Raw genomic sequence first — 27,434 nt, 5'->3', positions numbered from 1 at the left:
AAGAAGCAAAGTGGGCCGGGCACGGTGGCTCACGACTGTAATCCCAGCACTTTGGGAGGCTGAGGCAGGCGGATCATGAGGTCAGGAGATCGAGACCATCCTGGCTAACACGGTGAAACTCCATCTCTGCTAAAAATACAGAAAATTAGCCGGGCGTGGTGGTGGGCGCCTGTAGTCCCAGCTACTCGGGAGGCTGAGGCAGGAGAATGGTGTGAACCCAGGAGGCGGAGCTTACAGTGAGCCCAGATCGTGCCACTGCACTCTAGCCTGGGCGACAGAGCAAGACTCCATCTCAAAAAAAAAAAAAAAAAAAAAAAAAAGTGGGATCCAGGACAGTTTCTGAATAGGGAAGTGATAAGATCACTGTGGACCTGGGAACAATCACAAGGCAACTGATATGGTTTGGCTCTGTGTCCCCACCCAAATCTCACCTTGAATTGTAATTTCCACATGTCAAGGGTGGGACCAGGTGGAGATAACTGAATCTTGGGGGCAGTTTCCCCCATGCTGTTCTCGTGATAGTGAGTAAGTTCCCACGAGATCTGATGGTGTTATAAGGGGCTTCCCCCTTTGCTGGGGACCGATTCTCTCTCCTGCTGCCCTGTGAAGAGGTGCCTTCTGCCATGATTATAAGTTTCCCGAGACTTTCCCAGCCATGTAGAACTGTGAGTCAATTAAACCTCTTTTCTTTACAAATCACCCAGTCTCGGGTATTTCTTCATAGCAGCATGAGAACGGACTAACACAGCAACCATATTCAGAATGCATGGAAGGGGGCTAAGATTCTGGAGGTGGGGAAATCAGAAGATTGATGCAAGTGTCCCAGCAGAAGGGAATGGAGGCCAAGACTCTGCTGCTGGGAAAGAAAATAGAATTTTTACAATGGAAATTTGACACCTCCTCCAGGAGAGCAAACAGGTCTCAAAGACCTGTTCCCAATTGTGCACTTGAAAGGGCATAAATAAATGATCATATTCTTCTAACAAATATAAAATATCAATAAGATGTATGTAACACAGTATACTTTTTAACTAATAATGGCATTAAGTCCTTCTTTTGAAAATTAAGAAACTAATAAAAGTTGTGGAAGGTTAAATGATTTGTCCAATGTCACATAAATTCTGGCCTGCCCAGGTTATCACATTGGGTTTTTGAGGTTAAAGACTAACTGCCTTCTGGTGTGCTATAAAAACGATGCAGTCGCTGCCAATCAAATGTGGAGATGTTAGGTAGGACTGGACCAAGCACAGCACTGCCTTTCTGTTCCATTTATTGTGAAATCCAGTTTTGCTCCATTTGTAATTGACTCTGGGCTTTATCATGCTTTGTCTCATATGTAACATTTTCTCCCTATCTAGGTTGAGATGCATTTTGAAGGTTATAAAGAGATGTCATGGGGCATAAAAAATGCTAGTATAGGACGGGGAGAGATTGTCTAGATTCCCAATCCTGCCAATCACCACCTGTTTACTTGATTAAGTCACTGGAACTCTTTGGGCCTCATAATTCTAATAATAATTATGGCAAAAATGAACTGCCACCACTAACCACTGCTGCCACCATCACCATCACGATTTATTAGGCATCATTTATGAACCAGAAGTTGGGCTAAGGGTTTTAAGCACATCATCCCACTTACTCCTCACCAGAAGTCCCCAACCTTTTTGGCACCAGAGACCAGTTTCATAGAAAACAATTTTGCCATGAATCAGAGTAGGGGGGTGATTTCGGAGTGAAACTGTTCCCCCTCAGATCATCAGGCATTAGACTCTCATAAGGAGGCTGCAACCCAGGTCCTTCGCACGTGCAGTTCACAATAGGGTTTGCGTTCCTAGGAGAATCTAATGCTACCACTGATCTGACAGGAGGCAGAGTTCAGGGAGCAATGCTCACTCACCCGCCACTCCCCTCCTGCTGTGCAGTCCGGTTCCTAACAGGCCACTGACTGGTACTAGTCTGCAGCCTGAGCACTGGGGAATCCTGATCCTCACCATACCACCAGGAAGGAACTGAGGCACAAAGAGGTTAAATAACTCTCCCAGGTCATGAAGTCAGAGGTGATACACATGACTTTAATCCTACAGGTCCTAGAGCTCCCTTTGACCAGTTTTGTGTACACAGTTGATCATCAATAAATATGCTTTGAATTAAGAAGAGTGAATAATTACCCTCCCTATTTGCCCCCTCTAAACTTTAAACAATACCAAATGAAACTCAGAATTCTATAAATACATATAAATTGTGTTGAAGGCTCCTCAATTTTCTTAAGTAGTATTGTAATTAACGAATCTGAAGTATTTTGCTCTATCGAGGAGTTTTTCTCAAAAGGTTAACTTTTGGAAATGGTCTCTTCAAATATTACTTCCAAGTCATTCATCCTCTACCCCTGCCTCTTTCCTGTCATAAGTAGAATGTAGTCTTTGTGTCATTTCTTAATAAATGGTTTGCTATTAAGGAATCATTATAGTAATGTAGGCTACTGGAAGAAAGGGGTTATTTTAGTAGCCAACCCTCTTAATGACCTGCTCTTCTGTACACATTAGTAGTTGGATAAGGTTGTGGTTATTGAACTTCTGCCATCCACCAGAGACAAGCTGCTCAGGCTTGCATTGTTGGAAAGAGAGGATGATGGAAAAAATTTCCATACAAATTTTTGAGCTACTCTGCCTGAGAGATTACAGTGTGCTAAGTTTCCAACTTGTTCAACGGAAGTCAGCAGGGAGCATTAACGAAATGACTAGTTTGTCCAGCCTATGGTTAATAGTACATATCCTCAGAGAGGCTGTATTCAATGGAATTCAACAATATTTATGGAGCACTTTTAGTGAGCCAGGCATCATTCCAGATGCTTGAGAAACATCAGTGGACAAGATATAGAAAACCCCTGCCCTTGTGGGGCTTACATTTCAGAGACTGACCATTATTGTCCCTTCTTCAAATCTGTATGGCCACCGAGGAATATGAAAGAATGGCAATAAGTAACCCAACTCAATTTCCAACTTACAAATATGAAAAAATGGAGAGATATTTTTCTTCTGATTACATGATCTAAAACACTCAGTGAGACTTTGGGAACTTGTATTTGAAGACCGGGGGAGGGGAAAAGTCCAATAGCAGCACAGAGTTCTATGGACCCAGCACAATTTAGTGTTGTTTTGCATTCCAGTGGCAAAGATCTTGTAAGAAAGTTCATGTCACTGGCACAAAGGGACTGAACATGGGAAAATACTTGTTCTTCTTTCTATCAAAGGCACAGTTGTAAAACGCACAATGCTATGAAAACTCAAGCAAATCTGGAATCATCGTTAAAGGGAATTAACTTGGAAAGTAATTTATGGCAAGAAAATTCAACTCCTTTGTTATCTCCCTTTTACCGTAATATGCTTCCTGAACACTGCCTATGAGAAAGGGCTTTTAGAAAGAAAAAAAATAAGTATAGTAAAAATTAACTCATTTTATCAATTTGTGCTCTCTGCCAGAGTTTCCTGACTGTGGCTGTGAGAGGCTGTAAAACTGATGAATTTGCATGGAAAAAGAAACCAGTGTAAGTAATTTGTATAAGAGGTAACACGAACATAGACTGCTATAATTCAGACACCCTGCAGATAGCAGACTGCTGCAGTGTGAGCAGTTATGGGTTAGAAAAATGACCACACTGCAGTCAGTCTGACTTGAATGGAAATCAATCATAAAGGTACTTTCTCTGCAGCTTCTACGCCACAGTCTTCAGCAACTCCTTTGCCAAGCAGATTTCTGGTCTGTAAACCCTGTGCTGATCTCCTGTTTTCTACTTTTCCTTTCTAAAAGGTCTGACCAAATGCAGGCTAAGAGTATGGTTTTCCAAACAGGAACATTAAAAAAAGGCAATGAACTAAAACAAGGATTTCCCTCTATGTGAAAATGAACTTGCCTGCTATTAAAAGATTTAAGCAATGCTTTTTACGAAATGTACTATTAGGTGACAAAAGCCAGTAGAATATTTTTTAACCCCATGAAAGGCATCCGCTAACACAGACAGAGCCCTATTTTCACACATCCCTGTCTTGTGAACACATGTTAAGGAATATATACATGGTGGCGGAAGGAGAAAAGGGAGGTGAAGAGAGGAATTTTTATTTTTCAAAAAATGTTTCTGTTTCATTAAAATAGGAAAAATTAACCGATACATTTTCCCACCCCACTCCGAATCAGGAAGATACTTTATCTTTGACAGATAATTACTGTGAGTTTAATTTGTAAATTAAGTGTATTCAGGCTTTTTATTGCCATAAAATAAGCTCAGTCTTAGATCTCAAGAAACTTAAATATATACCCTGTAGAGGAAAAGGCTGTCTCCTACTTATTTTTGTATTCTCCTCAGTACACAGTGCAGGGTGCTTCATATATTACATATGCACCAAATGTTTACTGAGTTGAACTAAAATTACACGAGCTTGTTAATGAAAAATAGCTAAGAGCTAATATTTATTGAGCATTTATTACATGCCAGGCAATGTGCTAGGTATTTTACCTGAATTATCTCATTTAATCTTTGCATTATCCCTATGGAATATGTATTTATATTATTCTCATTTAGAAATGAGAAACTACGCTGAGAGTTAAGTAACATGGTCAAGATCATGCAACTAAGTAAGTGACAGAAGAAGGGCTTGAATGTAGATATTTCCTAGATATCTGTTCAAAGAAACAGGAGTGAAATTCACATTTCTAGTGTTGCTGTCTTTCCTTTGTCATCAGTTATGAAGGAGATATATTCAACACGTTTAAATAGAAGAATAATTATCGCCTACACTTATGTGGCAAAACTTCTATCTCATCATTCTCCTTCTCGCCTCTCTGCTTTTGCAGGTCTTAAACTTTATAAGCGTCAGCAAGAGTTCCATTGGATGAAGGGCCCTGCCACTTGGTCTAACAGAGCAGTCCACAGAGGGGTTAGCAATGCTGACTGATCTGCATTAGTGCCTTCTGCTTTGGGGGCTGAAATTGATTTTCTGCATTTTAGAGTATCATCATGTCTTAGCTTTTGGTTGAGGTCAAATGTGGTACCTGCTTAGTATCTGATACAGCCTCAGTCATGGGATTAAGTCTTCTCTGACAGGGATGGGATTTGATGGCCTAAGAGGTCTTTTTGCCACAGTGATCTATAAACCAGGGAAGGGCTAAGCTAAACATAAGCCCCACAACCAATAGTGCACTGGGACTACTTGACCATTAGCTATTAGGAAACCAAACCGTATCAACAGAGTCCCATCCCAACAACTGACTAATTCAGCTGTTTACAAAAAAAAAAAATAGTTTTCAATATTTCCACCAATAACTTTCATTTTTTTTCTCCTCCACCTAGTGAAAAATCCTGGGTATTAACATGTACTCATATTAACCACACACTGGATTAGTTCAGTTCCAGTATTTGACCTATGTGTGGTTTTGCTGAATGTGGACTCCACCGGCCCCATTCTAGACATGCTAAGATGGTCACTACCAACAGCCCTTCTACTCGGCAAGAGTTAGCTATGATAATGTACTCCAGCCAAATCTCAATAATATTTGTGGCCCTACTGCAGGGTAATATAGGATTTCTCTCAAGCTTTGGAGGTCACAAAAACCCCTTCTAGTTTTTCAGTGTTACTACTGGATATGAATATCCACCATTAAAAAGTTGAGGCTTATGAGTGCATAAATAAAGGTTTATTAAAAAGCACATTATTAGCTGGGCACACTGGCTCACGCCTGTAATCCAGGCACTTTGGGAGGCCAAGGCAGGCAGATCTCTTGAGCCCAGGAGTTCGAGACGAGCCTGGGCAACATGACAAAACCCTACTTCTGCAAAAAATGCAAACATTAGTTGGATGTGGCAACGCGTGCCTGTGGTCCCGGCTACTGGGAAGGCTGAGGTGGGAGGATCCCTGGGGCCTGGGAGGTGGAGTTACAGGGAGCCATGATTGTATCACCACACTCCAGCCTGGACAACAGAGTGAGACTCTGTCTCAAGAAAACCCAAACAAACCACATTGTCAGTAATGACCTGTAGCATGCTTCTGCCATTCATAGGGAATTTTTGCTCATAATATGAGTGAAAGCAAAATTTTAAAATACTGTAAAACTAAGTACTACTTTTAAGAATGCTGGTACATGGGCCAGGTGCAGTGGCTCACACCTGTAATCCCAGCACTTCGGGAGGTGGAGGCGGGCGGATCACGAGGTCAGGAGATCGAGACCACGGTGAAACCCCGTCTCTACTAAAAATACAAAAAATTAGCCGGGCGCGGTGGTGGACACCTGTAGTCCCGGCTACTCGGCAGGCGGAGGCAGGAGAATGGTGTGAACCCGGAAGGTGGAGCTTGCAGTGAGCCGAGATCACGCCACTGCACTCCAGCCTGGGTGACAGAGCGAGACTCCATCTCAAAAAAAAAAAAAAAAAAAAAGAATGCCGGTACAGATGACCCAGGTGTGGTTTGCCACTTAAAAAGTTGTTAATGTGTCAGTGTTAGATTGAGAATTTTAAAACATTCTGCTATCCACGAGATATCCTAGGAGAACAATTTCTAGAATAATGCAGAAACACAGGCTCTGGCTGAAAATTTGAGGAAAAAGAATCTTCTGAAAATTTGAGGAAAAACAATGCTCAAAACAGAGGAATGAGGTCTACTATTGGCATGCTCTTACTCTATTGGAATTACTAACTCCGTAAGGGTCACTAGAGTGGCTCTTCTAATAATTGGTTGTTAGAACATGAATTCTAAAATTGGCCCTTCTTAATTTATACACGCACACACACATGCATTTTCAATAAATTTACTGATAGTGGTCAGCTCCAAGATTGGCTCTGAGCACACAGTGAAGAACGATCAGGGGCTGAGGCTCTGTTCAATAATCGTGGTGGTTATCATTGTTGAGCATCTACTATGTGGCAGACACTAGACTATCTGTCACTTAACCCTCATTACACTCCTGAGAGGTATTCCTATTTCCAGTACTTGGACTTAGACTCAGCACACAGTTAGGACTTCATAAACATTTGCTCAATGAATAAATGATTGTAACCTAGAAGAAAACACAGCCAAGAGGGGTTAAATATTGCCCAAAGCTATAGAGTTGATAAGTTGCAAAGCTCAATTCCCCAACTCTATATCCTGTACTGTTTTACAATATCATGCTGCCATCTTGAATATAGGTTTTATACTTGACACATAGAAAGCATAACTGATGAATGACCTAGAAATAGATGAACATACGAATAGAGACCATGACAACACATTAGTATGTACATCAAGGGGTATGTTGTGTTTCTCCCCAGTTCAAATCTTTATAATAAGAGTATTCATAGTCTGGTAAATTTATCAGAAGCTTCAGCTGAGAACAGAGATCAAAACGGCCCCAAATTCTGCCATGAGAACTCTCACTGCCAGCTCTAACCAGGAAGATTGTAGGAGTATGCATGTAAGAGAAAGGACTAGACCTTCATGCAGAGCAGTGACTGAAGGATACACTAATGTCATAAGCGTATTCCTGCCATAGTTCTAATTTCAACAGCTCAGTGGTCCATGACAACAGCCAGGGCACATATCGAACACAAGGTATATGCACCTTTTAATTCATAGGGCTGAGTCGGCTGAGGACAGAGTCAGTCTAAGGGTGGGGATACTCTCACCTTACATGGCTTCATTAGGTGAGGAGGGTAGGATAGGAAAAAAATCAAGCTTGGCCACCCATACTGTGAGCTAGGATTCAGAAGAAAGCGTAGTTTGACGACAATTTCTATTACTACCAGTCCATTGCACTTGCTGCCAGCTTTACTACCCAAATATTCACCCCAAACATGTCAAGAAAATTAAAAGGAAAAAATCATACAACAAAACATCCTCCTGAACTAATTCAATTTCAATATTTATTTTGAAAATTTATTGAATTATAGTAGAGGAAGCTGGCTGAATTAAGCCAGCCAGACTGTTATTTTTCTTCCTACGAGTATGGCAATATTTATTATTTTACCTCTCTATGAGGGGTTGATTAAAACTAGAAAATGTAACATTTGCAAAGTCATAATATATTCAGAAGAAGGTGGTTCAGATAGGCAAAATAAAAATATATAGGGGCCAATCAGAATTTTCTCTTCCATAACTTAGATTTTCTTTAAAAACTACATTTGGAAATAGACATTATGATTTTTTTAAAGGGCCACCCACTCTTTTGTCTGCTCCACACTCTACCTTCACTCTAGAAGAGGTGCCATTGACTTCTACAGATATAAAATGTGTGACGTTCATTTTAAAATTACTAGTAGAGCCTGCTATTGACCATCCAATTATGCCGAGTTCCATTTATAAACATAGCTAACCACTAAGTTTATGGAGACTTTTTGTGCTGCTTTAATAGGATATTGATCGAGCACATAGTTTGAGTAGACTGCCATTGAATTGTGTAATGGCAAACAAAAGGCAAGGTCACGGCAACTGTTCATGCTAGGGCTGCAATCTATTTTTTATTATATTCTTTTTGTTTCTTCCTTTAATGCTCGAGCCCAAATGGTTTCTTTTGAAAGAAGATCTTGCTTAAGAATATAAGCTATTTTAAAAATTAATTTCCATGCAATGATCACAGCTATCGTGTTACTTAACACAGGAAAACCAACAGGCCACTAGTTTAGAAAGAAAGTTTTAAATCTATCCCACTTTAATTAAGATCTAAAGTACTGCGAATGTTTAAATGGCACCCCAAATGACTGGATGTCTGGAATTTCTTATCCTACACCCATTTCCTCATTAGTCCTTCTGTGCAAGAACATTTTGTATTTTCAAGTTTGGGCTTGTTCCTACCCAAGAGTTTCGTTTTCTTGTTGTGCCTTGTAGCCGAGTTCATTCTGTCTTAGAAGTTCCACCATGTCAGGTTAGAATATTGCCAATAGTTCTTACTAAATTACTAGCCTGAAAATCTAAGCATCTGAATATGGGTACTTGAAAACGTAACAAGGACCCAGAGACTTCAAAAAGAACTTTAGAAATGAACTGCAATTTGGATGTTAATGACAATTCCTGTGTGAAAATATAGAAAGAGCGCACATTTCTAAGGCAGAAAACAGCCACTAGGGTGCCACCTCATGCCAGGCTGAGGCATATGCCTGGTTCCATTCACTCCCACTCTCCATTGACAAACAACTCAGGAATCCTGTAGTGGACCCGGCAGCTGAGCTTTGTGGCAGAGCCAGGACAATTCAGCTGCCGGATTTTAATAGATTCTGCAGCACTGCAACAGGAACCAAAAATCAGTCCGGGTAACTGAGAGTGGTTTTCACACCCAAAGACTCTAAGGCTGGCCACAGTGTACTGAGAATCCTGGCTTTTCAAAATTCCAGGGCCATGAAGTCATCCTTAGCCACGAAGTTTACTTAACCCTTGCAGCCGGCTTGGGTGTACAAACCGCCGCTAGAAAATTAGAGCCCACCAGGCCAGAGTCACAATGGCCTGTGTGTATTTGCGGTTTTCCTCTTTCCCAGTGAAGTAGTTAGGGTTTCGAAGTCACTCCACCAACTTCAAGTAAAATAGAGTCAGCAATTTGGAAGGAAATGGGCAGAAGTAGTGGATTTTTCAGGAGAACTTTCTGGGTTCCTACCAGGAGTGATATTTGACAGCCTTAGCACTCATACTTTGAGGAAAACACTAGCGCAAAATAAACAAAAGAGTGGGTGCTGACAGAGAGAGCTATCTAAGCAGCATCACTTAGCAGCTAGTAGAGTGGGCTCTCTTTGTAGCAACTTCAAGGGAAAGAGACCAATCTAAAAATGCCTTGAGAAGGCTTTGTTTGAAAATGCAGCATCATGTAAGAGCCATTTCAACAGATGGTTCTTGTCTCTTTCCTCATAGTATTATGCTAAAACAACTTTAGTGATTCTGAACCACATTGTTAACACTTGTAAAACCCCCTTCCCCAAAGCAGAGAATACTTCTCTCTCTCTCTCTGGCACAGCATCTAGTGGTCTGTATTTTCCTCCTCCCCTGGAACAAGGCAATAAATAATTGAGCTACTTTCAGATGGTCCTACCACATGGGGGAAAAACTAGCAAGAGAACAAATATAGATTTTTATGCTACAGTATTTTCTTTGCCATGGAAGCAGAACTTTCCATTCTTGCCTTTCGTGGACTTTAGATGATAATGAAAAAAAAAATTAAAAGGTGGTAGGCAGGAGGCAAGGAGGAAAGGGGAGTTCACGGAAGATTGCAGCTTCAGTTGGCCAGCAGGAGTCCCTGATTCCAACAGGTTCATGTATCTGATCAGTATAATTCAATGGCAAGCATCCTTGTTGCCTCATCCCTCACCTCTGAATTTGTGAGGCTAAGCCAGCAGCTTTCTCCTGAGTTTCTCTGCCATTGCCACCTTGGTAGTAACGCTATTAAAAACAACACACTTAGGACATAGTTATTTCAGTGAATCCACATGAGGAAATACTGAAATAGCACCTCCCTCCTCTCTTACATTTAAAAGGAAGAAAATGAAAAACAAAAACTAACTGGAAACCTAGTGTAAGTAAATATTTGTATTAGCAAATTTAAAAATCGAATACTAAAGATCCAGAAAGGGAGAAAAATCTCAACCTAAGCCATCATTAATGATGACTGTGAAATTTTCAGCCCATGTAAGTAGTCATAATTAGGTATAATTGCAGGGGACTGGATGGGGCTGGGATAGATAACAGAAGGTTAAGAAGAAATCTGCAAAACAGTCAGAGATTGTAGGACACTGAGACCATCAAAAACATCTAAGTGAAAGGCATAACTATGGAGAGAGTAAAAAGATCAGTGGTGGGGAGTGGGAGGTAATGAATAGGTGGAGAACAGGAGATATTTAGGGCAGTAAAACTATTCCATATGATACCATAATAGTAGCTACCCATCACTATGCATTTGTCAAAACCCACAGAATGTACAAGAGTGAACCCTAAGGTAAACTGTGGACTTTAATTATTAATTATGCGTCAATACTGGCTCATGAATTTTAACAAATGTACCACACTAACAAACGATGTTAACAATAGGGGAAACTGTTTTGGAGGAGGGGTATACGGGACTTCTGTACTTTCTGTTAACCTAAAACTGTAAACCTAAAAAACTGCCCTAAAAAAGAATAAAGTCTGTTAATTAAAAACAAACTCACACCTAAAAACAAATCCAGGAAAAAAAATTAATTAAGTATCTTACTTGCTTTGGTTTACATGAAAATAGTTTTAACCTTTTTTTAATGCACAAATTAATAAGCTAAAAGTGTATCAAATCAACAAGAACTGATTATTCAATAAAAGCACAGAATCCTTGGATTCTATTTAGTTCTATAATGCAATTATAGGAGAGGTTTTGATGAAAAGGTAGGCAGTCAGCTAGCTGAGTAGAATAAAGGAAAAAGAGCAAGTTGCTTAACCTCTTGGAGCATCACAGACTCCATCTATAAAAAGGGACAGTAACACCAACCATGGGAGGATTGAATGAGATAATGCTTACAAAGTACCCAGCACAATGCCTGGTACATGGTATATGCTTGATAAATGCTAGCTACTCTAATTTTTCATATTATATGACATCACACTCCTAACAGGGCTAACATCATGTGTTTAATCACCTTTTGTGCCAGTTAGCTTATTTCTTTTTTTTTTTGAGATGGAGTCTCGCCCTTGTCACCCAGCCTGGAGTGCAATGGCATGATCTCAGCTCACTGCAACCTCCGTCTCCCGGGTTCAAGCGATTCTCCTGCCTCAGCCTCCCGAGTAGGTGGGATTACAGGCGCCCGACACCACACCTGGCTAATTTTGTATTTTTAGTAGAGATGGGGTTTCTCCATGTTGGCCAGGCTGGTCTCGAACTCCCAACCTCAGGTGATCCACCCGCCTTGGCCTCCCAAAGTGCTGGGATTACAGGCATGAGCCACCGCGCCTGGCCAGTTAGCTTATTTCTATTCGAGGATACAGAATGCACCCCAGGTCCACTCATCTGCAAAAAGCATCCACCATAGTTCTGAAACGGTTGCTTCTCTTTTCCCACATGGGGGAACAAGGAAGAGGGCAGCCTTGCAAGGCAATGCTGAGGGATTTCAACTCCAGCATGCGGCTTGAGTGTTAAGCCTTTCAGGAGGGTGCGTAGGTGACGAAACCTGAGCTGGGGATCCTTACCCAGGCAGCCAAGGTAATCTTGTGAAATATACCCCGACAAACCTAGATTATCTCTAAGAAAAAGGGGTCTCCTGACTACAGTCGACTAGTTTGGCCTGAAGCCATGATCGAGCTGACACAGCCCAGACCCACTCTTGCCAAACAGTTTCCGTCAGCACGAGGCCATGTGTGAGTGAGTCCCAGAGCGATTACACAGCAGTGTGCAGAATCAAAAAGCATTTGAGAGCCAAAGGATGTTCATGATGCCAGGCACTGGCTAAGCAACCCCCTAAGCAGGGACAGGAAACAAGTCCAGGTCCCTCTGCAAACTCAATCCCTGTTCAGCCATAATCTCTGGCAGTCTTGAAGGCAGGTTTAGAATTCATTTGGCAGCCAAGCTATCTTAGACTGACCAGAGTTCTACTCAAACTTGGAACTGATAAGCTTTGGGATATAAGACCTTAAAAGGAAAGACAGGGAGTGGAAGGAGGAGGAGAGGCTGGGGGTGATTCTGTACTGTGTGGGCCTTCTCATACAACCCCCAGGCCTGGGAAGGCTGATGGTAATGAGGACTAAATGTAAGAATTGCAGCATCCAGGGCAGAATAAAATGGCTAGTGCTCCAATCTTACGCTTAAAAGGATTTTCATTTCACTCTTTAAGGCTATGTTTTAGATCCCAGTGAGGGCTCAATGAATGTATTTTCCTATAATGCTACTATGACTGGTATGGTCTGATACATATATATATATATATATATATATATATATATATATATATATATATATATATATATACACACACACACACACACACATATATACACACACACAAATACTCCCCATATTACGGTTATTATTAAAATTACAAGAAAATGTGAGATATTTATTGTGTTCAAAAGTCCTAAGAAGTTAAAAAAAAAAGATATATACAGATGCACTGTTATTTGTCTATGGCAAATAACTGCCTAATCAGCTGTGCTATAACTAGGGGAGCATATCCTCTCCAGCTTAACAAGGCAATGTAGTGTCTACTTAACCGGTTGGTACTTTAAGTACGCTTCAATACCATGGCAGCAACCTCTCTCTTCCAAGTTATGACCTGCTGCTCCTAATGTCTCATTTCTTAGGGTTCCAACTCTTCTACACTGGAATACCTCAGCATCAACCTGGGAGTCCTTGACTCCCACAATTCTAACCCCGACAGTTACCTTCCCACTGTTTCCCTGTCTAGTCTCATGCTATAGATCTCTTCAAGTTCCTTTGGGCCAGTCTAAGAGTACGGATACTGGCATTATAGAGACTTAGCTTAACGATTTATCCGCTATTTGAATTTTTTGTTGGTTTGTTTTTTGAGATGGAGTCTCACTCTGTCGCCCAGGCTGGAGTGTGGTAGTGTGATCTCAGCTCACTGCAACCTCCACCCTCCGGGTTCGAGCAATTGTCCTGCCTCAGCCTCCTGAGTAGCTGGGGCCATAGGCGTGCACCACCATGCCCAGCTAATCTTTTTGTATTTTTAGTCGAGACGGGGTTTCACCATGTTGGCCAGGCTGGTCTCAAACTCCTGACCTCAAGTGATCCACCTGCCTCGGCCTCTCAAAGTGCTGGGATTACAAGCGTGAGCCACCGTGCCTGGCCTCACTGTTTGACTTTGGATAAATAACTTATATAGACCCTCAATTTAACTCATCTTTAAAAATGGGGTAATTTCTTGTCTGAAAAGCTTATTGCAAGGATTAACTTATGTACCTTACACTAAGGCCTACGACAGTGCCTGGCAGACAGTAAATGAACAGTAGTCATTAGATTCTCCCCTGTTCCCACACTGTGTATCACATTCTGTGCTCTCAAGACTCTCCTAGCCTATGAGTGGCTAAAATAAGAACAGACAAAATCCAGGATTTTGGGACCAGGATGGCTTGACTTGTTTGACCTGACGTCATGCCCTGAGATGGACTGGCTTACTCAGTCAATCTTGCAAGCCTGTAACACAGTGAATGGGGGGTATGAACCTGAAATGAAAATGTTTCTTTTTACTCCAGCTCATTCCACAAAGGGCTGATGCTGCTCAAAACCAATTTTAACCATGTAAATTTTACCTACAAGTGGTATTTTGAAGTAGTTGGAGGAGTAAAACAAAATAAAATTTTAATATTTGGTATTTATTTTTCCTTCTTCTTACTGGGACCTGGAACATCATAATCATTGTATTTGTGCTTTTAAATAAGAAAAAACAGATTCCTAAGGGAAGGCAACTGTGTATGTGTGTGTGTGTGTGTGTGTGTATGTGTGTGTGTGTGTGTGTGCGTGCATGCTAGATTATGTCATAACAAAACTACAATCAATTGAATGGGCCTTTGATCAATGGAGCAAGATGGTGACAGGTACTCTTCATTCACTGTTAGTGATTATTGACAAACTGGTAATGATCATCCCAGACTGTGTCACTCATACTGAGGGCATTAGCATTTTTTAAAGGTCAAAAACAAATTCTTTTAAAATGCAGAATTTCTTAGAAATCAGGGAAGCCTCAGAATATATGAGACCCTCAGGATTTTGGTCTTTCTTTTATGCCTCACATCAAAATAATATTTAATTTTTCCTGATTTAAATTCTTGGTTGTCAAACAAACTGTGTGTCAAAATTCTTCCAATGGGTGAATGAAAAGGAGATTCTGAAAGCTTTTTTTGGTCTCTAGGAGTCCTAGGCAGAAAGTAAGCACAAACCAAGGCAAATCTGTACCAAATCAAAGCAAAATTATACTTACTCTGTGACACTCTTACTAGCTCAGTGACACTAAAAACACCTGATGTGACAAAACTGTCCTGGAAGCCCAAATGTCCTGGGGAAACAAAAACAAAAGAAAACAAAGTGTCATAAATACAAGACATTTGACAACAGAGCTTTAAATATTAGTTTCATTATGATTAACACATGTGGTGCCTAATCTCATTCTCTGCTCTCCTTGGGGTTTATGTGGGAGGGCACAGTCATTTAGCTAAGCAGATAGATTTTTGGTTTGAATTTCAAGGTTGTGCAAAGCTATGGTACAACAACTAGCTGATTTTTGAAATGGTTAAAAAAAATTCAACCGGAAATATGAAACAAAAGACAATTTACAATAAATAGTTACCTTGGGTGACCTCTAAGACCTTAACAATTGGGATAAAAACAGCATATCTAAGAATCACTAGGAGAGCTGCATTCCATCATAGTTTTTTAAACATTATTCTCTAAAGAAACATTTGATTGGAATTAGTTATCTATTCATTTAACTCAAACAAGATTTAAAGGTGTTCTTTTCTAGAGGCACCACAGGGTGAATTTTTAAAAAGTCAAAATAGAAAAAGCAAGCCCCAACTCACAAAACAGGAAAACAAATTCTTTTGAGCACAAATAAAAATTCAGATTATTTATACACCCCAAATTTTTTTTTGTGTCTGTTGATTTTTTTGAGAAAAGATAATAAATCAATGGTTCAAAAAGTGATTAATCTTCGAACTTTGTTTCTGCTTCATTTTTGCTGGATGCAATTAATTCCCTTTAAGACACCTGGTATTATGTCGATCACCAACTACTCATTTAATTTTATGATGCATTCAGAAACATAGAACTTATAAATGACAAGGAACACATAATCTATGGTATGTAGTTTCCCACTCTACCTCTAAAATTTTCTGATTCTATGACTCTCACACAGGTAGAGTCTAGTTGAGAGATCACTCCAAGGTCAGCTTAGTCTTTCCCTGCTTTAAAATCTGGGTCAAAAAATTGTTGGCCGAAGGGATTTTTGAAATAATTGTTCTTTGACATAAGAAACATACCTTGAGAAAATGCAATAAAAGAAAATAGACCAATCTGAATATATAACAATCCATAAACAAAATTTGTTATTAATAAAAGCTAGATTTCATACAATACTGAGGGAAAGCAAATTTACCTGTGGCACTGCATATCCACCAATAAATTTACTAAATGTCATACACATAAACACATGCAAAAAGTTGCCATGTTTTGGAGGAGTATAAATGGACCTGCAAGTTACTTGTCTTTTTTAGGTTACACTGGATTTTTGCATAAGAAATTTCTACTGAGATTTTTTTAAATTTCAGTTAACTTTTATATCAAACACATAATCTATGGTATTTGAGATGAAACAGTTCCAAGTTTTAGGATAGACAATAATTGTAAATGGCTTTTTGAAATAAAATGGCAAAATTTTACCATCAAAGTGCTCAAGAAATTTCACCTCTCAAAACCACCCACACCCAGGTATTCAATTGGCTTTGGTAAGCACCTAAGATGCTGTCTCTTAGATTAAGAGAACTGAGAAGTTAAAAAATTAATAAATAAATAAAATTCTCTAATGAGGTCTTGGCAAAACAGACCACAACATCTCTTTCTTATAGGGAGACCATCAACATTACATTTATCCCACAGATCACAGCAAAGGAAATCTAACCACAATGTACATTAAGGTTGACTTAAAACACATAGAACAATAACAAGGAAATTCATAGATGAATAGGAAAATCTGGGTTGATCTCCAGCTCTTGCTCATCCCTACCTTCTTTACTTGACTTACAGGCTGATACTTGTTTCAGTTCCAATCTTTGAAATTCCTCATTTTAAGGATGAACTAACATGAATTTCTGTATAGCGTGAATGTAAACACAAGGCAATTTAATCCTGCCACCAAAAAAGCAAGCAATATATTTTAAAGGCTAGGGTGATTTAGGTGCAAGGACTTGGGAATTGGGAAGACCCTTGCGTTCATTCATTCAAATTACCACCCTCTCCTGGTTGCCCCCTTTTCTTGTGTCCACCTCTTAAATGTTGGTGTTCTCCAGGGTCTGTGCTCATCTCTCCCTGTATGTGTGTGCAGATGTGTGCGTGTGTGTGTGTGTGTGGGGGGGGTGTATCTATTTCCTAAGTTATTTTATCTACCTCCATGTCATCAACTAGCAGTCTAGACTGTGATATTTGTGAAAACTAAAATAATGTTTTAATTTACCACTGTATACTTAATGCCTGAGACAAAGCACGTTAGTAAGTGAATATTTACTGAATGAGTAGATGAATGAATCTACAGGCCAATGACTCTCAACTCTTTATCATTTACTGAGATCTATCTCCTGGGTTCCAAACCCATAAATCTAAGTATTTGTTGGGCATTCCATCCAGATAGCCCACAGGTATTCTTAGAACCAACATGCGCAAAGCCGAATCCATTTTCTACTGCACCCAAAACCCGTTCTTACTCTTTTGAATTCCATATTTCAATGAACCATCGGCCACTCATCTAGTTTTTTGGCATCATCCCTGACTCCTGCCTCTGACAATCACCCACATCCAACCAGTCCCCACCGCTTCTGTGATTCCTGACTCTATGTATGTCTCCATCACCCTCCTGCGACTGTGGCTCAGGACCTTCCCTCTTCACCAGCATGGTGGGAAAGCCTCCTAACTGTGCTGTCTATCATCTCTCTTGGCTTGCTCTCCAATCCCCTCTCCACCCTTTAGCCAGGGCTGTCTGACAGATATGCAAATCTGATGAGTTACTCATTTATTCAATAAATGTCTACGGAGTACCTACTATGTGCCATGCATCATGCTAGGGGCACAAGATACAGTTCCCACCTTCAGGGAGTTTACAGAAACAGCTAAAAACATGTAAAAAAAATTACGGCAGGGCACTGTGGCTCACACCTGTAATCCCAGCCCTTTGGGTAGATCACAAGGTCAGGAGTTCAAGACCAGCTTGGCCAACATAGTGAAACCCGTCTCTACTGAAAATACAAAAACTAGCTGGGCATGGTGGCGAGCGCCTGTAATCCCAGCTACTCAGGAGGCTGAGGCAGGAGAATCACTTGAACCCGGGAGGCAGAGGTTGCAGTGAGCCGAGATCGTGCCACTGTATTCTAGCATGGGTGACAGAGCAAGACTCTGTCTCAAAAAAAAAAAAAAAAAAATTACTTTAAAAATGATAGGCCAGGTATGGTGGCTCAGGCCGGGGGCAGTGGCTCCCACCTGTAATCCCAGCACTTTGGGAGGCTGAGGTGGGCAGATCACAAGGTCAGGAAATCAAGACCATCCTGGCTAATACGGTAAAACCCATCTCTACTAAAAATAAAAAAAATTAGCTAGGCATGGTGGCGCACGCTTGTAATCCCAGCTACTCAGGAGGCTGAGGCAGGAGAACAGCTTGAACCTGGGAGGCGGAGGTTGCAGCGAGCCAAGATCGCGCCACTGCACTCCAGCCTGGGCGACCGAGTGAGACTCCATCTCAAAAAAAAAAAAAAAAGAAAAAAAGAAAAAAATTATAAATGGAGGCTGGGTGCGGTGGCTCATGCCTGTAATCCCAGCACTTTGGAAGGCCAAAGCAGGCAGATCGTTTGAGGTCAGGAGTTCAAGACCAGCCTGGCCAACATGGTGAAACCCTGTCTCTACTAAAAATACAAAAATTAGCCGGCTGTAGTGACGTGTACCTGTAATCCCAGCTATTCAGGAAGCTGAGGCAGGAGAATCATTTGAACCCAAGAGGCAAAGGTTGCAGTGAGCTGAGATTGCGCCACTGCACTCCAGCCTGGGTGACAGAGCAAGATCCGTCTCAAAAAAAAAAAAAAAAAATTATAGGCCGGGTGCGGTGGTTTATGCCTGTAATCCCAGCACTTTGGGAGGCCGAGGCAGGCAAATCACCTGAGGTCGGGAGTTAGAGACCAGCCTGACTAACAGAGAAATCCTGTCTCTACTAAAAATACAAAATTAGCCGGGCATGGTGGCGCTTGCCTGTAATCCCAGCTACTCGGGAGGGCTGAGGCAGGAGAATCACTTGAACGGGGAAGCGTAGGTTGTGGTGAGCCGAGATCGTGCCATTGCACTCCAGCTTGGGCAATAAGAGCGAAATTCCGTCTCGAAAAAAATATATATATATAAAATAAATGATATGAAGGAGAAAAATATCAAAAGCTTTAGAAAGGGTGGCCAGGGCAGGTCTTGTTTAAGAGCTGATATCTGAAAGATACGAAGGAGCCAAATAGGAAAAGAAGAAAGAGCTCTTCAGGCAGAGGATTAACATGAGCAAAGGCCCTGAGGCAGGAAAGAGCAAGATGTTGGAGACACTGAGACAAATCCAATGTGTTCTGAGCCCCCTGCCCTATCAGAAAGTTTACAAGAAATATGCATACAACAAAGAACTAGTATCCAGAATTGACAAGGAACTCAAATAAATCAACAAGAAAAAAAAAAATCCCAGCAAAAAGTAGGCAAATGATATGATCAGACATTTTTCAAAAGAAGATAGACAAATGGCCAACAAACATGAAAAAATGCCCAACATCACTAATCATCAGGGAAATGCAAATTAGAACTATAATGAGATGCCACCTTACTTCTACAAGAATGGCCATTAATAAAAAGTAAAAAAAAAATAATAGATATTGGCATGGATGTGGTGAAAAGGGTATGCTTATATACTGCTGGTAAGAATAAGTACCATCTCTATGTGAAACAGTATGGAGATTTCTTAAAGAACTCAAAGTAGATCTACCACTTGATCCAGCAATCCCACTACTTGGTACCTACTCAAAGGAAAAGAAGTCAATATATCAAAAAGACAACTGTATGTGTATGTTTACTGCCACACAAATCACATTTGCAAAGATGTGGAACCAACCTAAATGCCCATTGGCCAAGGAGCGGATAAAGAAAATATGGTATATATATATACCATGGAATACTACTCAGCCATAAAAAAGAACAAAATAATGTATTTTGCAGCAACGTGGATGGAGCCAGAGGCCATTATTCTAAGTGAAGTAACTCAGGAATGGAAAACTAAATACCGTCATGTTCTCACTTACAAGTGGAAGTTAAGCTATGGGTGTGCAGACGTATACAGAGTGATATAATGGACCGCAGAGACTCAGGAGGGGGCGGCTGTGTAGGGAGTGACGGATTAAAAAAATGCCTACATATTGGGTACAAGTTACACTACTTGGGTGAGGGATGCACTGAAATCTCAGACTTCACCACTGTACAATTCATCCATGTACCCAAAAATCACTTTTACCCCAAAGGTCACTGAAATGAAATATATATATGTAAATATATATTTTTATATATACTGTAAAACTTTGACAGAACTTCTTATTTCTGTCTCTCTGTCTCATTTGCAGCAATATAGTTTAAACTAAAACTGAGCTGATCTGCACTGGGAAACTATTAAAATGAAAAAATATATAATAAATATATATTTATATATAAGTAGATATATACATATCATAATAGTAGATATATACATATCATATATATATATTTTTTTTTCTTTTAAAAAGAAAGAATGCTTGCAAGAGCCCCACAGAACGTTCAGAGTACAGTACTAACTCCTTTCCATGGCATGGGACCTAGATATAGCCTCTTGTTTATTCTCTCTCACTTCTGGCCCTACCCTTGACCTAAGTGAACTGCAAGCTCCTCGTTGCACTGCTTCACTGCCATCCCCTGATACAGCTCCTTCTTCCTGAAACATCTGTTCTTCCTACTCCTAGCTTAACCACCTCCTAAAGTGTCTTTTAGAACTCAGCTTTGTTGTCACCTCTCACAAAAGTCTTCCCTGGCTGCCCCCACCACTGGGGAACACTTTTTTTCTCCCTTCTGAATACTGACCAGTTATACTCTATATTTCTCACCTGGGACCTGCCGTACGTGATTGTAACTTTGTCTTTTTCTCACATTAGACTGTAAGCCCTCTGAGGAGGGGAAGTATCTTCTGTGCCTCTGGCCCTCCAGGTCTTGACACACTGCCTGATGGGGTCAGTGTTCCTGAGATGCCTCAGAGTGAATGAAACTCAAACTGGGCTCACCTATGTCATTTTTCCTCTTGGTAAAATCATTGGCAGAACTTCTTATTTCTGTCTCTTTCTCTCATTTCCAGCAATATAGTTTAACTAAAACTGAGTCAGTCTGTACTGGGAAACTATGAAAATGAACCATCCACATATTCCCTCCAAACTAAACAGGATCAGGACAGGACAGGCAATGAAGCTTCTGGTCAGATTGATTCAGGCGTTTCTGATGATAAATGCCTGGGGATTGTCTTATTGTTCCCTTTATGGTTCATATTTTTAAAGTTCAAGTAAAAATAGAGTTAAAGGGCAGTAGCATTGTCCATCATGGCCATAAAGCTCCCTCCACCCAAAAAGGATCTAGTCCCAAGCTTAAAAGAAGATCTTGTGTGATCCTGAGAAAGTCACTGCAAAAATAACAATTTCATCCCTTTTCCCTACCAGCAACTTGCCTCCCAAGGCTTACCTTAGTGGAATGTGTGCAATTTAGAAGGTAAAACATATGTGAATGCACTATAATCACAAAAATAAAGAGTATAATTCTTTGGCAGATTTTTTTTTTTTTTTTTTTTTTTGAGACAGAGTCTAGCTCTGTCTCCCAGGCTGGAGTGCAGCGGCGCCATTTCGGCTCACTGCAAGCTCCGCCTCTGGGTTTCATGCCATTATCTTTCATGCCATTCTCCTGCCTCAGCCTCCCAAGTAGCTGGAACCACAGGCGCCTGCCACCACGCCCTGCTAATTTTTTGTATTTTTAGTAGAGATGGGGTTTCACTGTGTTAGCCAGGATGGTCTCGATCTCCTGACCTCATGATCCGCCTGCCTTGGCCTCCCAAAGTGCTGGGATTACAGGCGTGAGCCACCACGCCTAGCCTTCTTTGGCAGGTTTTGATGTAACCATCTCTTCACACAGTATTATCAGACAGCCTTGGCTAGATTATGTTTATAATATGTCCCCATGGAAAGGTCTGTGTAAACACTCCATGTAACTTTAAATGGTGATGAAACTGCTCTTGTTCCTTTACCAATTGCTTGGAAACCCACTGATGAACTTTGTAAGAAGACAGCAATGAGAAATGAAACCTAAGAAATGATGGAAAAAGTGATATTGCTAACACAACTACTAAGCAAACCTGAGTGAATTAATATTTCATTCTCATGAACACAAACCAAATCTTAAAAATGACTTGCAGGGAAATGACACTAATCTGATTGTTCCACTTTACTGCAAAGTAAGAAAAAAGTGGAAAAGAAAATAAAAAGGTGAGTTTAAGCGATTCCAAATTCAGATATTATTAATATTGAAAGATCCTCCATTGGAAAGCACATTAAACACTCCCAAAAGGTCCCAAGATTTACATTTTGAATAGGGCCTCTCAGAAAAAAAGTGCAAAACATGTGCTTTCATTAAGTATGTCTCAGATAAAAAGCCAGGTTGCACAATGTGCTATCTCTACAATTCTGTACTACTGTTCAGGAGCAATTGTACAGGAGATTGAAATGAGGAGCAGATCCTTTTTCATTTTATATAATATGGCTAAAAAAGTTCATTCACTGAAGTCTTGTTCATTGAATTCCCAATTAGAGCACAGACTTCAATACCTTGGAGTCAGTCATACTCGCAGTGGGGAGAGATTAAACTATATGGGAGAGGTAGAAATATAAAAAGCTAAATTCTTTCATGGGTAGTTAGGAGAAGCAGCTCTCTTTACCTTGATGATATCAGCAGTTATTATGGAAAATGCCATTACATGGGAACTAAATCTCATTTCATGGAGGAACTGAACATCTATCCGCCTTTTAGCAGGCAGGAGAGGAACAAAGTTAAGATTTGAAGAGAGACAGGTAACCTTGAAGAGCTGTTCAGAGGTCAAGGCCAGAGACACCTGGGAACAAACCACACAGGAGGCTGACCACTAAAGAAAGTTTTCAGGTCCAAGAAACAGAGTTAATTTTGCATCTGAGAAGGAAAGTTTATATCCAAGATGGTATTTTTGTTTTCTCTGCTGGAATATCAAGGGGCTGTCAGCTCTAAATGATCAAATCTCGTCTGGTTAAGGGATGTAGGCAAACTGCAATACCCCAGTCATTTCATCAAAAAGAACTCATCTCTATTCTAGTCTTCCTTTGGTAAATAGGGTTCCATCCCTAATAACAAGACAGGCCAATGATTACCAGGCTTCTCCATGCTGGTGTGCCTTGGCCACTTGACGGGAAAAGCTCCCTCCTTCTCACGCTGTTTATATTCCAGAAGGATTTTGGACTGCCTGTGCTGTGCAGGTCTGTGCTAGTCCCTGGGGACACTGCTCTCAGGGAACCTACATTCTCATCCTTCTAAAGAAAAGTTTACCTCATCAACCAGACTCCCTCCTTGGAATTTTAATTTCTCCTTCTGTGAATTCCCCACTGGCTTATGAGCCACCTGTGGGAATGTGGCTCGTTAATCTTCCCTCTCACCCCAACACAGAACATTTTAGGTGTGCTCAGGAGACACTATTCAATTAAGGAGAACTTCTCTGCTTGTCTTACGGCACTTGCCTCTTTCTACCTGACTGGACAGTTATTTGTTTATATGTATTATCTCTGCACTCCTACAACAAACCGGGGAGGGGAGGGTTGGGTCTCATTATCTCACATTGTCCACAGGGCCCAGCATAAGCCTTTATTCTAGGTGTGTAATAAATATTTATTTAGTGATTCAGATGAGTGACTTATGATACTGTTATTTGGTAGTCCTCTAAAGCGTGATGTAAATTTTTGTTAGCTCACCTACAGTGATATTACTTCTGTACTCTTAATTTAGATTATCTTGGAAAACAGTTTTTCCTTTTGAGGAGTCAGGTGCAGGGATGTTTCTGCTGATCCATTAATGCCAAATTTTAAATTTCTGGTCTGATTTCTGACTGTATAGTGACTATTTAAATTGTTCTGCCACTCATTGGTGACATTTGAGATACGGCTTATTTTTAGAATAATTCCTTATAGTTTAAAGAAATGCAAAAATTCAGATATCTAAAAAAGAACACAGGAGCAATAAAAGTACATATATATTCTGTTTGTGAGATTAACCTTTATGATAGTGGAGAAAAATTCACTTGGTAGTGTGCTTATGGTAAACATTAAAAGGTTGACATATGGTGTTGGACTGACAGTAAGGCTGAAACACTTCTATATCTAGAAAGTTGTGCCTGAGAATTTGCAAAATGCAGAAATGTTTGTCAGCTAATAATATGGATGAGGTGTTTTGAGATTCTCAGATGAATACATGGATTGCTTTAAATGCATTTGTAACATGGGTATGATTGTCATTTTGGTTTATCATGACACATTAAGAAATTGTCACCATTATGGAAATAATGTACTCTTAGACCAAAAGAAGAATGGGGCAAAAAGAGGTTTGAGAAGTATGTGTCATGGGACTTACACACTGTTGGCCTTCTTTTGTGGCTCCAAATTTCCCTGTGCTGCTCATTTACTGTTACTCAATACAGACACCTAATCTGTGTTTTTTTGTTTGTTTTTGCCATCATTGCTCACTCAATGATTTCTGCCATAGCCATAGAGACAGAGTCAATATTTAATTTACTGCTTCCATTCAATAAATGTTTACTTAATGTCTATTACATGGCAACCACAATCCTAGGACCTGGGATGCAACAGGTAAAATAACACAAGGTCCTTACTCTTGGGGACTTATGTCCCCAGTCAAGGCAGATATTTACAGCAAGATTTTCAGTAATGTATTTATATAAAATTCATGTTTTTGTAATACCTTTCTAGGAGAACATTAGAAACTAATAAAGACTACTGCAATATCTTCCTGTGATGAGTCTGCTGTTTGTCACACATATACGTGGTTGATAGCCAGAAAGCACACTTTCCAGACTGCCTTACAGTTAGGAGTGGCCACAACCAGAAAGTGAACGCAAGTGATACAATCAACTTCTACCCCCACGTACCTGAAAGGAAATTCTTGCCCTGAACATTGTCTCTACCCCTTTTTATGAGCGAAAACACTTTCTACCATGCAGGCACACACCCGTGGAATAGCAGAGCAGTAAGACAGAAGGAACCTGGGACCCTGAATGACACTGTGGAGTAGAACCATCCTGCCAACTTAGGCTGCTCATCTGGGAATATTAACAGAAAGAAAAATAGATTTCAATATACATTAACTACTGTATGTTTTTGCGTTTTATTGGTTGCTTTGTTATAGTAGCTAAGCACTTACCCTAACCCACATAACTACTAACTTATCCCTTTTGAATCTAACGTGTCACAACTTAGCAGCCCTCAGGCCAATTCCAGTCTACAAACATATTTTGCTAGTACAGTATGTATTATTAATCTGCAAAGGAATGCTTTTAAACTAGACATGAGAAGTTAAGTGACTTGCTTAATGTCACACAGATAGTGGCAAAATTAGGATTAGAACACAGGTATATTTACCACTCTTTATATAATGAATTTTATCCCATTTTAATCCATGATTTTTAGCATCAGAGACTTAATTACCCAGTCTAATCCAAAGGCCTTGTCACATCTTTTCACCAATTCCTGCAGTTAATAAAGGAAGGGTAGCATTTAATTAAACTAAATGTGATTGCCCAATGACTTCATAGAAAGAAAGTTCATGAGTTTTAAGTTCCAAGTGATTGAGCAATTAAAGGACTATGTCTATTAGATATCAAAATATCTAAAAATAAAAGTGAAAAAAGATTTTTACCTATTTGTATCTTTGCAAATATCAGATCCATGGCATCACACAATGAACTGGATATGGAAGGGACCTTAAAGTTCATCTAGTAGTGGAGTAATAATCGTCATGTTGCAACAAAAAAATTGTGGTTAATAAAAAAATGAGGGGTTAAAAAAATCATATTTCCCTGAATATGTCTACCTTCCTATAACTTGTAATTTACCTAGATTTTGTCCTCTGGTATAGGCAGAACAAATGTTGGCTCTCTTTATTTCTACTATCCTTCAAATATCTGAAGACATCTCATCAACCTAATTTTCTCTCTTCCAGGCTAAATATCCTTCCGTCCTTCCTTCCTTCCTTCCTTCCCTTCCTTTCCTTCCTTCCTCCCTCCCTTTCTCTCTCTCGTCATGTCAACAAATTATTTTCCCCATTTCCCCGAAACATTTAGAATTATGCATTTATTAGTCTTAAAAGCTGAAACAGTTGTTTTGCAAGCGGACTCAACTGAAAATTTAGACTTGTACAAGAACAGAGAAACAAAAATAATCTTTAGGGATTATTTTAAAAATTTAAACACTTACTTTAGCACCATTTTAAAAAACAGAGAATTTTGCATCATATTAGAAAAGCTAAGGTCTTCTGTAATTAGCATAGTATCAGTATTTTATAAGCTTAATATTTTAAAATTAATTTTATGGTTTTAATGCACTATAAATTAACATTTTTTAATTAACCCGGTTTTGAATTAAAGAGGTTTTTTAAAAAGCAAACTTATTGTTTTTATGTTCTGCATCAAAGTTTCCTCTAAACTTGGACAGTAACAACTGGTAATTTGCAAATGAATCAAGCTATTTGTAATAGCTTTAGTTTCTGCTTATGAACTTTTACATATACTAGGGAAAAAACAGGGAAATGTATTCCCTGAATACATCAGAAACTGATTATCTTAAGTGAAACAGACATGAAACTGGATCACCTGAGGGCTACCCTGGTTCATGGACGTTAAACAGCAAAAAATCGTAATGGCCCATCTCCCTTTTCTTCCTTTTTAGGTTTTATACACAGGGCTGTGAGACAGACCATTTACAGAGAATCCTGCTTGCTAAACCACCTGAGGACACATGCAATGATAATGAAAGTAGATAGCCAGGGGCCATGTGCTAATTTTAAGATACTCAACACTGATTTTGGTTCACCAAGCATGGAAAGAAAATCCTGGATGGAGTGAAGCAATAATATTTTTTAAAAATCCTTACAATTACTTTTCTAAGACTCCAAATATTAAATGTACTATTATATACGTCTCCAAATATAAAATAAAACTAGCTAATGTTTAGAACCACAAAATGCAAAGAGCTTTCATCTTTTCAAAAGTCATTTTTTGTGTAATTCTTGCTCATTTACCCAGTAATTAGTTATCGATGCCAAAATTCACCATGTTTATTAAATTGTGGAACCTGTATTATTCACTTCTGCAGATACTATGGCAGGCCACAATCATGTGGGTCACAATACTTTGAAGTTTGCTGGCCTAGCACAAAGTATTTTAGAAGTACCAGAAAATTCTTTGTGAAATGTAACAGAATGAATTAGACTGTTCAGGCCATGTCGTGTTAGCACAATGGAGGAACACTTTTAAGACTTTAAAGTCATGTAATGCAATTCTAGGCTGGATTTTTCTTGTTTAAAAAAAAAAAAGAAGTAGAATGGGAGTGGTTGGAAGAGAAAAGGGCCAATATTTGACAACAGAAATCAGC

General features: G+C 39.8%; 1 protein-coding gene across 4 annotated transcripts in view, besides 1 other annotated feature; it reads right to left on the bottom strand.

Moving 5' to 3' along the window:
• NFIA (nuclear factor I A) overlaps positions 1-27,434 on the bottom strand; it is a 385,562-nt gene that overhangs the window by 115,303 nt on the left and 242,825 nt on the right. For all 4 annotated transcript variants that reach the window (NM_001145511.2, NM_001145512.2, NM_001134673.4 and 1 more), the window contains one exon: positions 14,900-14,974. In NM_001145511.2, the coding sequence (NP_001138983.1) occupies positions 14,900-14,974 (75 nt within the window). The remainder of the gene's footprint in view (positions 1-14,899; positions 14,975-27,434) is intronic.
• Positions 3,542-3,742: a silencer, noted in NCBI's record as "peak260 fragment used in MPRA reporter construct". NCBI's record gives its function as "represses an SCP1 promoter by STARR-seq MPRAs in K562 erythroleukemia cells {active_cell/tissue: K562}" and the evidence as "EXISTENCE:reporter gene assay evidence [ECO:0000049][PMID:32103011]".

Source organism: Homo sapiens, chromosome 1, assembly GCF_000001405.40.
Source record: "Homo sapiens chromosome 1, GRCh38.p14 Primary Assembly".
Taxonomy (NCBI): Eukaryota; Metazoa; Chordata; class Mammalia; order Primates; family Hominidae; genus Homo; species Homo sapiens.
This window is presented reverse-complemented; position numbering and strand designations above follow the sequence as displayed.